The sequence below is a fragment of the Homo sapiens genome, chromosome 2, assembly GCF_000001405.40.
Source record: "Homo sapiens chromosome 2, GRCh38.p14 Primary Assembly".
NCBI classification, from domain to species: Eukaryota; Metazoa; Chordata; class Mammalia; order Primates; family Hominidae; genus Homo; species Homo sapiens.
The window spans coordinates 182,118,207-182,131,385 of NC_000002.12; the positions used below are offsets into that span (position 1 = coordinate 182,118,207).

The 13,179-nt window shown below is 35.0% G+C and overlaps 1 protein-coding gene across 3 annotated transcripts in view; it reads left to right on the top strand.

The window, feature by feature from the left end:
• PPP1R1C (protein phosphatase 1 regulatory inhibitor subunit 1C) overlaps nt 1-13,179 on the top strand; it is a 176,906-nt gene extending 163,727 nt beyond the window's left edge. For all 3 annotated transcript variants that reach the window (NR_048566.2, NM_001261424.2, NM_001261425.2), the window contains exon 6: nt 10,768-13,179. The gene's annotated coding sequence lies outside the window, so the exon portion shown is untranslated. The remainder of the gene's footprint in view (nt 1-10,767) is intronic.

Consider the following 13,179-nt stretch of genomic DNA (forward strand, 5'->3'; position numbering starts at 1 on the left):
GCTGCGAATTATAGAAATAAAAGAAAGATACTTTTACCCCTATAGAACTGGCAGAAAAGATAAAGCATTAGCATAAAGCAAGATTTTATATGACAGTGTATATTTATTGAATATGGCTTTTTCATAATTTAAAATTCTGGGCATTTTGAACAATTTTAATTATACATTATTTGTGAAGGCAAAGTATCTAAACTACAAAATTTAGGGGGAATGGAAGAATACTCAGTTTGGTCCTTTATTAATAATATTAATGAAATTCAAATGTATCATGGATAAAAAATAAAAAGATTTCTCAAAAGTCAGTAAAGGACAAATGAAGGCAGGAAGAAAAAATCAAATGTGTAATCCACTGTGGGATCTTAATATCAAGATTCAAATATGTAAAATGATTGCTTTTAATTTTGAATATGAGTTTTGTAATGTAGAAGTTAAGAGAGTTTTATGGAGCTATAAAGAATGCAGTGAGTTGACAACCATTTTCCTTAGTATTTTTCCCCAAGAAAATAAGTGTGAAACCCGTTGATAAGCATACCACATGTATAAATGACTATTCTAGATTCCTCTCTCTCTCCTTCTGTTCCTTTCTTCTGTCTTTCTCCCTCCCTCCTTCTCTTCCTTTCTTTCTTCCTTTTCTCTCTCCCTCTCTCCCCTTCTCCCTCTCCTTCTCTGTCTTTCTCCACCCCTCCCATGACTTTTTCTTTTTTTTTTAAATTATACTTTAAGCTTTAGGGTACATGTGCACAACATGCAGGTTTGTTACATATGTATACATGTGCCGTGTTGGTGTGCTGCATGCATTAACTCGTCATTTAACATTAGGTATATCTCCTAATGCTATCCCTCCCCCCACCACCCACCCCACAGCAGGCCCCGGTGTGTGATGTTCCCCTTCCTGTGTCCGTGTGTTCTCACTGTTCAATTCCCACCTATGAGTGGGAACATGTGGTGTTTGGTTTTTTTGTCCTTGCAATAGTTTGCTGAGAATGATGGTTTCCAGCTTTATCCATGTCCCTACAAAGGACATGAACTCATCATTTTTTATGGCTGCATAGTATTCCATGGTGTATATGTGCCACATTTTCTTAATCCAGTCTATCATTGTTGGACATTTGGGTTGGTTCCAAGTCTTTGCTATTGTGAATAGTGCCGCAATAAACATACGTGTGCGTGTGTCTTTATAGCAGCATGATTTATAATCCTTTGGGTATATACCCAGTAATGGGATGGCTGGGTCAAATGGTATTTCTACTTCTAGATCCCTGAGGAATCACCACACTGACTTCCACAATGGTTGAACTAGTTTACAGTCCCAACAACAGTGTAAAAGTGTTCCTATTTCTCCACATCCTCTCCAGCACCTGTTGTTTCCTGACTTTTTAATGATCACCATTCCAACTGGTGTGAGATGGTATCTCATTGTGGTTTTGATTTGCATTTCTCTGATGGCCAGTGATGATGAGCATTTTTTCATGTGTCTGTTGGCTGCATAAATGTCTTCTTTTGAGAAGTGTCTGTTCATATCCTTCAGCCACTTTTTGATGGGGTTGTTTGTTTTTTTCTTGTAAGTTTTTTGGAGTTCACTATAGATTCTGGATATTAGCCCTTTGTCAGATGAGTAGATTGCAAAAATGTTCTCCCATTTTGTAGGTTGCCTGTTCACTCTGATGGTAGTTTCTTTCGCTGTGCAGAAGGTCTTTAGTTTAATTAGATCCCATTTGTCAGTTTTGGCTTTTGTTGCCATTGCTTTTGGTGTTTTAGGCATGAAGTCCTTGCCCATGCCTATGTCCTGAATGGTATTGCCTAGGTTTTCTTCTAGGGTTTTTATGGTTTTAGGTCTAACATTTAAGTCTTTAATCCATCTCGAATTAATTTTTGTATAAGGTGTAAGGAAGGGATCCAGTTTCAGCTTTCTACATATGGCTAGCCAGTTTTCCCAGCACCATTTATTAAATAAGGAATCCTTTCCCCATTTCTTGTTTTTGCCAGGTTTGTCAAAGATCAGATGGTTGTAGATATGCGGCATTATTTCTGAGGGCTCTGTTTTGTTCCATTGGTCTATATCTGTTTTGGCACCAGTACCATGCTGTTTTGGTTACTGTAGCCTTGTAGCTGAAGGAAGTAGAGACACAAAAAACCCTTCAAAAAATCATTGAATCCAGGAGCTGGTTTTTTGAAAAGATCAACAAAATTGATAGATCGCTAGCAAGACTAATAAAGAAGAAAAGAGAGAAGAATCAAATAGATGCAATAAAAAATGATAAAGGGGATATCACCACCGATCCCCTGACTTTTTCTTTGTTAAGCCAAAACTTTCTGGAATTTCTATACCACCTGCTATGACTCTTTGTTTATTTCTCAAGTTTCTCTCTACTTAAAACCTGATTAAGGCCCTTATTTATTTTAAGTGATTTTGAATTACTTGTGTTTGGAAAACATCTCAATGCCCCTTGAGAGTATTTGAGACACCCTGAGGTGCTAAACATAACATTGCCCTTCCCTTTCCTTGAACAGATGCTTTTAAAATGCTTTTTCAAAGGGACTCAGGCAAACAAAAAGAAACCAAAGCTTTTGCTGATTTTGTAACATCATTTAGGGTAATATACAGTATAGCTTCTGGATTTTTCTGTTCTGTTCTCCATTCCTAAAAAAAAACACAAAGAAATCAAAATTAAGAACATAAGTTTTCTTTGGGAAATGGTTTCTTCCATTCTGTTCTCCACTCTCAAAACACAGAGAGAATTCAATTAAAAGCTTAAGTTTTCTTTGAGAAATATGTTGACTTTCTCAGAAATTTGAAGGAAACCAGTTGAGATAATGGCTTTTCACTTTACTTTTCACACAATTATAGTTTTCAAAAAAATTTTTTTCTAGAAGCCAACTTGGCTTCAGTTTGGAAGAATGGGCAAAGAAACTGACCAAAGCAAAGCAAAACAGAAACTATATTTCCCAGACCACATTTATAATATAATTGTTTGTAGCTGGACTTTGAGTCATTCTGACTTGGATTCAACTCCAGGCTCTACCAGATTTCAGACTCAGTTTCTTCATTTGTAAAATAGGTACAATCATACCTAACCTGCTGGGTTGTTGTGAGGCTTAAATGAGATAAGACCTATAAAATACTTAGCCAAGCTTAGTGAGCATTTAATAATTGGTATTTATTATTATTAGAGTTAGAAAGGACCTCAGAGGCCTTCTATCTTAACTTTATCTACTTCATGATCCTCTTCAACATCATGAACAAGTGATTAATCACCCCACTTATTTTACTTTTTATTTTTATTTATTTATTTATTTTTTGAGATGGAGTCTCGCTCTGTCACCAGGCTGGAGTACAGTGGCACCATCTCGGCTTACTGAAACCTCCACCTCCCGGGTTCAAGCGATTCCCCTGCCTCAGCCTCCCAAGTAGCTGGGACTGCAGGTGCCCACCACCACGCCCAGCTGATTTTTGTTTGTTTGTTTGTTTTGTATTTTAGTAGAGACGGGGTTTCGCCATATTGTCCAGGATGGTCTCGATATCCTGACCTCATAATCCGCCCGCCTCAGCCTCCCAAAGTGCTGGGATTACAGGCGTGAGCCCCCGTTCCCGGCCTACCCTACTTATTCTTGAATAACTCCAGTTCCAAGCCAACCAAAAGTTTTGATTGTTCTTCTATGTGTTAAACTCTCCCCTTCTACACCTTTCCTGCTTCTTTGATTCATCTCTGAAAACTCCAGATATTAAAGAACATTCTGATGTCATTTCTTTGATAAAATGTCATCAGTTCCTCCCAAACTTCTCTTCTCCTCCTGGCCACTCACTTTTGGATCCTGTTTAGTTGTTTACACTGACTCTAAGAAAGGCTCTGTCAGGTGAATAAGTTAGGGGTTATTTTTCTATCCTCTTATACGTGAGGAACAGGCAGACTGTGGCAGAGTCAGGCAGGATTCTTGACTAGAGTTATTTCTATTGGACGATAATTTTGTAACCCTTTATTCTTCCCAGAGTTATCCAAGGTAAGGGTATTTATAAAAAAAAATTACTCACTAATTTTTTTACCATTCACTTTTAGTGTTAATTTAATATATGCCAATGTTTTATACATTATGGAGAACAACATAATTTTAGGTTGGCCAGGAAAAATCCTTTTTTTTATAGTTACAAATATGATTATAATGTGTATTAGAAGAAATACATATCCAGCAACCCCAAATCCATGATTCCATACCTATTATGCTTAGGATGAGGCAAGTTTAAAGTGTGAGTATATTTTAGGTTTATTTAAAGAAAAATTTAGTAAAAGTGGTACCCCAATCAAAAAAGTAATATATAATTGAACGAAAGTTTGGAAGCACTAGTTTTTTGTTTTTTTGAGGAAATGATAATTTTATTGGGATTGCTAGCTAACCACTTTGGCTCTGTAGGGACAATGCACCCATTTCAACAGATGCATATTTAAATATGGAAAGATAAAATGGCATGATGTGTGAGATTTACTTTTAAATACGTAAGCCAAAACAGACATAAAGTAAGCAAGAAAAAAAAGAAAAAATATTGTTAGATAAATCAAGTAGGTGAAGTGTTCAAGAAACTAGGTCAGTGGTACTGTGAGATGTCCTACATTCTGGAGTTGTCTCTGTTTTTTCCTGGCACTATTTATTTATTTATTTTAGTTTATTATTATACTCTAAGTTCTGGGATACCTGTGCAGAACGTACAGGTTTGTTACATAGGTATACAGGTGCCATGGTGGTTTGCTGCACCCATCAACCTGTCATCTACATTAGGTATTTCTCCTAATGCTATCCCTCCTCTAGCCCCCCGCCTTGACAGGCCCCTGTGTGTGATGCTCCCCTCCCTGTGCCCATATGTTCTCATTGTCTAACTTCCACTTATGAGTGAAAACATGTGGTGTTTGCTTTTCTGTTCCTGTGTTAGTTTGCTCAGAATGATGGTTTCCAGCTTCATCCATGTGCCTGCAAAGGACAAGAACTCATTCTTTTTATGGCTGCATAGTATTCCATGGTGTATATGTGCCACATTTTATTTATCCAGTCAATCATTGATGGACATTTGGGTTGGTTCCAAGTCTTTGCTTTTGTGAATAGTGCCACAATAAACATACGTGTGCGTGTGTCTTTATAGTAGAATGATTTATAATCCTTTAGGTATGTACCCAGAAATGGAATTGCTGGGTCAAATGGTATTTCTGGTTCTAGATCCTTGAGAAATCTCCACACTGTCTTCCACAATGGTTGAACTAGTTTACACTCCCACCAACAATGTAAAAGTGTTCCTATTTCTTCACATCCTCTCCAGCATCTATTGTTTCCTGACTTTTTAATGATCGCCATTTTAACTAGCCTGAGATGTTATCTCATGGTGGTTTTGATTTGCATTTCTCTAGTGACCAGTGATGATGAGCTTTTTATCATACGTTTGTTGACCGCATAAATGTCTTCTTTTGAAAAGTGTCTGTTCGTATCCTTTGCCCACTTTTTGATGGGGTTGTTTGTTTTTTTCTTGTAAATTTGTTTAAGTTCCTTATAGATTCTGGATATTAGCCCTTTATCAAATAGATAGATTGCAAAACTTTTCTCCCATTCTGTAGGTTGCCTGTTCACTCTGATGGTAGTTTCTTTTGCCGTACAGAAGCTCTTTAGTTTAATTGGATCCCATTTGTCAATTTTGGCTTTTGTTGCCATTGCTTTTGGTGTTTTACTCATGAAAACTTTGCCCATCCCTATGTCGTGAATGGTATTGCCTAGGTTTTCTTATAGGGTTTTTATGGTTTTAGTTCTAACATTTAAATCTTTAATCCATCTTCAGTTAATTTTTGTATAAGGTTTAAGGAAGGGGTCCAGTTTCAGCTTTCTGCATATGGCTAGCCAGTTTTCCCCAACACCATTTATTAAATAGGGAATCCTTTCCACATTGCTTGTTTTTGTCAGGACTGTCAAAGATCAGATAGTTGTAGATGTGTGGCATTATTTCTGAGGCCTCTGTTCTGTTCCCTTGGTCTATATATCTGTTTTGGTACCAGTACCATGCTGTTTTGGTTACTGTACCTTTGTAGTATAGTTTGAAGTCAGGTAGTGTTATGCCTCCAGCTTTGTTTTTTTTTGTTTTTTTTTTTTGTTTTTTTTTTTGTTTTTTTTTTTTTGCTTAGGATTGTCTTGGCTATACAGGCTCTTTTTTTGGTTCCATATCAAGTTTAAAGTAGTTTTTTTCTAATTCTATGAAGAAAGTCAATGGGATCTTGATGGGAATAGCATTGAATCTATAAATTACTTTGGGCAGTATGGCCATTTTCATGATATTGACTCTTCCTATTCATGAGGATGGAATGTTTTTCCATTTGTTTGTGTCCTCTCTTATTTCCTTGAGCAGTGGTTTGTAGTTCTCCTTAGAGAGGTCCTTCACATCCCTCGTAAGTTGCATTCCTAGGTGTTTTACTATCTTTGTAGCAATTGTGAATGGGTGTTCACATGATTTTGCTCTCTGTTTGTCTATTATTGGTGTATAGGAATGCTTGTGATTTTTGCAAATTGATTTTGTATCCTGAGACTTCACTGAAGTTGCTTATCAGCTGAAAGAGTTTTTGGACTGAGATGATGGGATTTTCTAAATATATAATTGTGTCATCTGCAAACAGAGATAATTTGACTTCCCCTCTTCCTATTTTAATACCCTTTATCTTTCTCTTGCCTGATTGCCCTGGCCAGATCTTCCAATACTATGTTGAATAGGAGTGGTGAGAGGGGGCATCCTTGTCTTGCATAAGACAAAGTTTTCAAAGGGAATGGTAGAATTTTGCCCATTCAGTATGATATTGGCTGTGGATTTCTCATAAATAGCTCTTATTATTTTGAGATAAGTTCCATCAATACATAGTTTGTTGAGTGTTTTTAGCATGAAGGAGTGTTGAATTTTATCAAAGGCCTTTTTCTGCATCTATTGAGATAATTGTGTGCTTTTTGTCATTGGTTCTGTTTATGTGATGGATGATGTTTATTGATTTGTGTATGTTGAACCAGCCTTGCATCCTAGGGATGAAGCCAACTCAATCACAGTAGATAAGCTTTTTGCTGTGCTGCTGGATTCGGTTTGGCAGTATTTTATTGAGGGTTTTCACATCGATGTTCATCAGGTATATTGGCCTGAAATTTTCTTTTTTTGTTGTGTCTCTGCCAGGTTTCAGTATCATGATGATGCTAGCCTCATAAAATGAGTTAGGGAGGAGTCCCTCTTTTTCTATGTTTGGAATAGTTTTAGAAGGAAAGGTACCAGCTCCTCTTTGTACCTCTGGTAGAATTTGGCTGTGAATCCATCTGGTCCTGGGCTTTTTGGTTGGTAGGGTATTAATTACTGCCTCAATTTCAGAACTTGTTATTGCTCTATTCGGGGATTTGATTTCTTCCTAGTTTAGTCTTGGGAGAGTGTATATGTCCTGGAATTTATCCATTTCTTCTAGATTTTCTAGTTTATTTGTGTAGAGATGTTTATAGTATTTTCTGATGGTAGTTAATATTTTTGTGGGATCAGTGGTGATATCCCCTTTATAACTTTTTAATGTGTCTATTTGATTCTTCTCTCTTTTCTTCCTTATTAGTCTGGCTAGCAGTCTATCTATTTTGTTAATCTTTTCAAAGAAAATCTTTTCAAAGAAACAGCTCCTGGATTCATTGATTTTTTGAAGGGATTTTTGTGTCTCTATCTCCTTCACTTCTGCTCTGCTATTAGTTGTTTCTTGTCTTCTGCAAGCTTTTGAATTTGTTTGTTCTTGCTTCTCTACTTCTTTTAATTGTGATGTTAGGGTGTCAATTTTAGATCTTTCCCACTTTCTAATGTGGGCATTTAGGGAAGCACTGGTTTTAAATATTGTCATAGCAAACAACTTAAGTGTAAGTATTACAGAGTTCATTTAATTGTAATATAGATTTATGCATTCATAAATAAACCATATATATTGTATTTTTTTAAAAGTCTTTATATGTTTTTTTGGCCACTATCAAAAAGCAAACAGTTTAATTGCAAAATGAATAATAGAAAAAGCATGTCTACTTATGTTAAAGTGTCTATATACATATACAATTTTTAATATTTGCTTTCTCTGAGTAAGCAGAATGTAGAAGAAATGCCTTTACTTATTTTCTAACTCAGTGATTCCAAAAACCAGTCCTCAAAGCTCCATTAGTTGCATTAATTAATAAGAAATGTCTATGTTGCTGAAATGTCTATTTTGTCTATGTTAACAAAATTAAATTGTTAGATTTTATAACATCATAACATTTTGAAGAACTATATCAGAGAAGAGCTTTATAAAAATGCTAGGGGGAATGTTTGGTTTTAAATGACATTTTAAGTGAGTAAACATCTCACGTAATATGTGAGATGCAAACATCTCACATAATTCACACAGCAATGCAGCATTGTCCTGTAAATTCTGAAATAATCAACATGAATGATAGGTGCCTGATGACATTTTGTAAAGAGACTACCACTCAACCGTAGGTCTTTCCTTGACATTTATTTTGTGGACACAGACATTGTGTGTAGGGGTGCAGCCACTTCCCCTACTGAATATAATAATATATTTCATGCAGGCAATGGAGACTTGGTGTATAGAGGGAAGATGAACAAGAGACTGGATTAGAGAGAAAAGTAGGTAAAGGAGGGAATTTGTAACTTGGAGACAAGGGAAAAATTCTTGATGAAGTAAATTAAAATGATATTGGATTCATCTTTGTTTTTAATTTCTTACGCTATAAACATGACTTAACAGGGTTTTCCCTTTTCTCTGAATTTCAGTAACAATGAAGCTAATTCGAAGGAACGAACATAGTGAGAATCCCAGCAGTATATAAAATTACCATATTAGAATCCTGAAAGTAACAGAATATTAGAGTATATTCAGCAAATAATTCTTCAGACAAAGTGTTAACTTACAAGGCAGACAGTTACCAGAAGTCCAGCTGAACTTTGGTGACATAAACTTGTAAGGTTTGTGGAGCACATTACCATGACTTTGTTTTCAAGAGGTGAGAGCAGTCTAGAGGGGCTAGCATTTTCTGAGCTGGAAAATGAGTCACAGTTCTGGTCTATGGCCCTCATTTTACAGGTAGAAAAAGTGAGGCCTAGAGAATTTTTCTTCAAATTTACATTTAGAAAGTTCAAAATTGTGTCATGTAGAAAATTATTTGGCAGCAAATAAAAGAAAAACCAGCAAACAACGGTGTAGAGATATGTTTATGTCAAGTAATAAAATGTCTAGGACTGGAATAGTGAATCAAGACACCAACAAGCAACAGGCAATTTTCATTTTTCTCAACATTCTCAGAGTTGTAAACTCACATCTCAACCAAGCTGCTGCTCCAAGCATCTGGTCGGTCCAAGTAGAAAGAACAGTGGGAAGAAAAGGGGAAGAACCAATAACAAAGAAGCAAAACTTTTTTAGAAATCTTGAACTAATGTCTCGTAGGCCAGAACTGTGTCACCGGACTATCCCTTGATGCAACAGTGTTGGAGAAAGTAAATATTTTTAACCAGGTGCCTTGCCACATCCCAGCTAAATTAGGGTTCTCATAGTGAAAGTCAGCATAGGTATTTGTTGAACGTTCAGCAGTATCTGATTCCCAAGTGAACAGAGTTTTGGGATTTTCTTCTTCCTTAAGGCATTTAAATGAACCACAGACTATTCATATTTGTCAAGGAGTTAAAAATATTAACATTCTGTAGACATTTTTGCCAATTAAAAATGCATATATTAGGTAATACGGGCTGGATAGAACCAGTCAGATATTATTAACTGTTCTGTGCTGTTTTTCATAGGATTATTTGGTGAAGTTTTAAAAGGTATCCTTTACAAACACAAGACCAAAATTCTAGTTCATTATTCAATAAATATGTAGGAATACCTATGACATGCTAAACATTGTTTAAGTGCTGCTGATTCTAGGTATTAATAAGAAGTGAGAGTCCTTAAACTCATGGGTGTATATTTTAGTGTTTGAAGGCAGTCAAATACATGTAAACTAATAAAGTAATGAAATCATTTCTGATAATGATAAGTTTCTGGAAGGAAATAAAATGGTAATATTGCAAAAGGTAGCGTCTCCTTTTTATCAAAGCTGTGTGACATTGGGCAAGTCCCTTAACCACTCTAGAACTGAGTTTTCTGCTCGGTAAAACGTGGAGAATTATATAATAGAAGATCAGAGAATCTTGTCAGGGCCCCTCTGACTCTAAGATCTGTTTCTCCTTTCTAATTTTCTTTCAAGAACTGCAGGCAAGTTGTAAAGGAAAAAAGAAGAGATGAGAATAGACAGAAAGCAGCAGTATTATGAGAATATGGGCTCAGAAGAGAAATGATATCTGTGTGCTTGTATGACAGCCAACGGAATAAAATTGCTTGAGTTAGAAATGCATGAACACACATATGCATATGTATGTACGTATGTATATATGCATGTATGTATGTAATAAAATGAGCATTGTAACCAGTTGATTTTTGTCTTTTAAAACTTCCCTTTAGAAAATGACCTAAATAGTGACGATCAGTTTTTTTGCTTGTTGTTTGTTTTTAAAATTTAGAAGTTCTTCCAGGAAAACTTTCCTCTTACAAATCACTAATTGGATAATTGACTCTATCCTAGCATACAAGCTTTGTTGCTACTAAGTGCTGCATACCAGATTTTTCCCTTTACAGAGATTTACATGACATGGTATTAAATCCTCTGGAAAGTTTCCACTGTGTTCTGAAGTATTTTCTTTTTCTCCTCCAGGTGCAAAATGAGTTGATAACAACCAGAAGTTGACTTGTTAGTGCTGTGCTTCTACTCGAGCTTGGAAAAATCCCAACACAAAACAAACACCACCTCCGATTCCATCATGATGCCACGTTGCTTTCTACTGGATTACCTCCTGAAGCACTTTAGATATTTTATACATAAGTATTGACATGTTTTTCAGAAGCTGTTTCTTCACTTATTGCTTTTTTCTAATAATTTTTATTACACCATTTGCCAAGTCCTTCCCTTTGGTTTTAGTTTATTCCTCTCTACAACTAAAAAAGGGATCTTGAGTTTAGGTACATTTTAAGTGATTCATTTTTAGTTTTTCTAATTCTGGAATCTGAGCCTTCTCTTACAACAGGGAGTCTTTCAAAAACATTTTTTTGTTTCTTTTTCAAATTCCACTGTGTTTATTTATTGCCTTGTTTCTTTTTCAAATTCCATTGGTCTTGATTTAATTTAGTTCCACAGATTTTACTGATAGTCTACTACCTGCCAACTACTGAATTATGCAGCAGACTTATAAAAATAAAAAGGCTATTTTATTGTTATTGCCATCCTGCTAGTAAAGATTTATTCAATTATTTATAATTAATTAAGTGGCTTCACCTATATTTCTGTTAATAATCACATTAATTATGTATGACAGGTAGGATTTATGTTATAGATAAGAAAACTAGAGTCCAAAGAAAATAAGTGTCCCCAAATGAACCAATAATCCAACAAACGCTTCCACTAACTAGCTTCTGACCTGTTTGAGTTGTGATAGATTTTAGAATAAAAAAGCCTATCCTCCTTAGGAGCCATAGACTTTTATTCTTTCTTATACTGTCTTATATATTGACTTAGAGCTAAACTTCCTCCAATTCAGACATAAAGCATAGGCAGATACTTTTGCTAATGAGGCTAAGCTGGGAAGAAAACCCTGAGTTCTACTTTAATTCTTGGGCATTGACTTCAAACTAAGATGACTTATAAGAAATAAAAGAAGTAAATTTGAAACTTTAATAAAAAAAGTACATGGTTCATTTAAAAATGTTTCCTATGTCTAAATCTATATTTTAAAAATAACCTTTATCATGTAAAATGAGAGAATTGCTGAGTTTATGACAATCTTAGGTATAACCTTTTCTTAAAGAACAAGGCATCAATCTTTAATTTGTTTCCCTTTCTTGATTTCTCATAAGTTGCAAAATAAAAATAAAAATAATTTCACAAATTGTTCATTATTATTATCCTCCCTACTTGCCCCAGGATTTAAGTACTAACTTTTACTTCCTACTCTTAGACTTTGTATTGCCAAAGAAATAAAATATGAAAAAGCATAATCACCCAGACCTACCTGCGGAATTGTGGATTATGCTGTAGATATTAGATCATTGAAAGGAACAATATACTACTTAATGAGGAGCCAAAGACAACATTCTACCTGCTGCTCCCTTCAAGCTGAGGAATGAGTTTAATTGACTTCAAAGTCCCATTATTCTCAAAAGTAGCAAAGGTACAACATGGCTTTGCATGAATCAAAGGAAGGGAACAACAAGAACTTAAAAAAATAGTTTGCAGATGGTTGAACATCTCTTTAATAATTAGAGAAGAATATCTTTTCTTTCTTTATTGTTTACAGATACCAACATTTTTCAAAGCCTTGCAGTAGATGAGTGAGTCTCCTGTTACATTTCTCCTGCAGCATATATTCTGTGGATGTGTTTTCCTAAGCAGACTAATTATATGTTGCTCTCTTCTTTTACCCTAATGAAACATAGATTTTTCTGTTTTGAATTTGTCACTTGTTTGTTACATTTGTCAAGTGTTTTAAATATTACATTGGTCCTTTATTTGCTTTTGAGAACACCCAATAGTTTAAAAATTAAAATGACATGAAGGTCAATTCTAAGACAGGAATGATACTACTAAATCCTGGACTTGCCTATGATAACAAGCTCGAGCTACACACTTTTATTGTCAGAATAAATGGAATATATAGGAAGGAGTTAATTGGAACTGGTTAGTACCTAAATAAGATTTTTCAAAGTAAGTTTTTTGTCGTATTGGCAGAACAGTGTTAAAAAATAGACATTGTCATCATAAACACCCACAACTATATCTGTAGAAGATAATTTAATGCAATATTCTGGGGAAAATACAGTTGCCAAAATTAATCTCCTTGTTTTCTTTCATTGTGCAATGTGGAGTTAAATTTTTTTTCTATTGAGCAGTGTGTGTGTGTGTTTGTGTCTATAATTTATATATGTGCTTGTATACATTTCTATATACACATGTATGTGTATGCAAAATATGTATATATACACATATATATAAAATGTACACTAAATATGTATATATGTATATTCATAAAATGTTTTGCTGTATGGAAATAAAAAAGAAGGTTTCTAAAGGAAA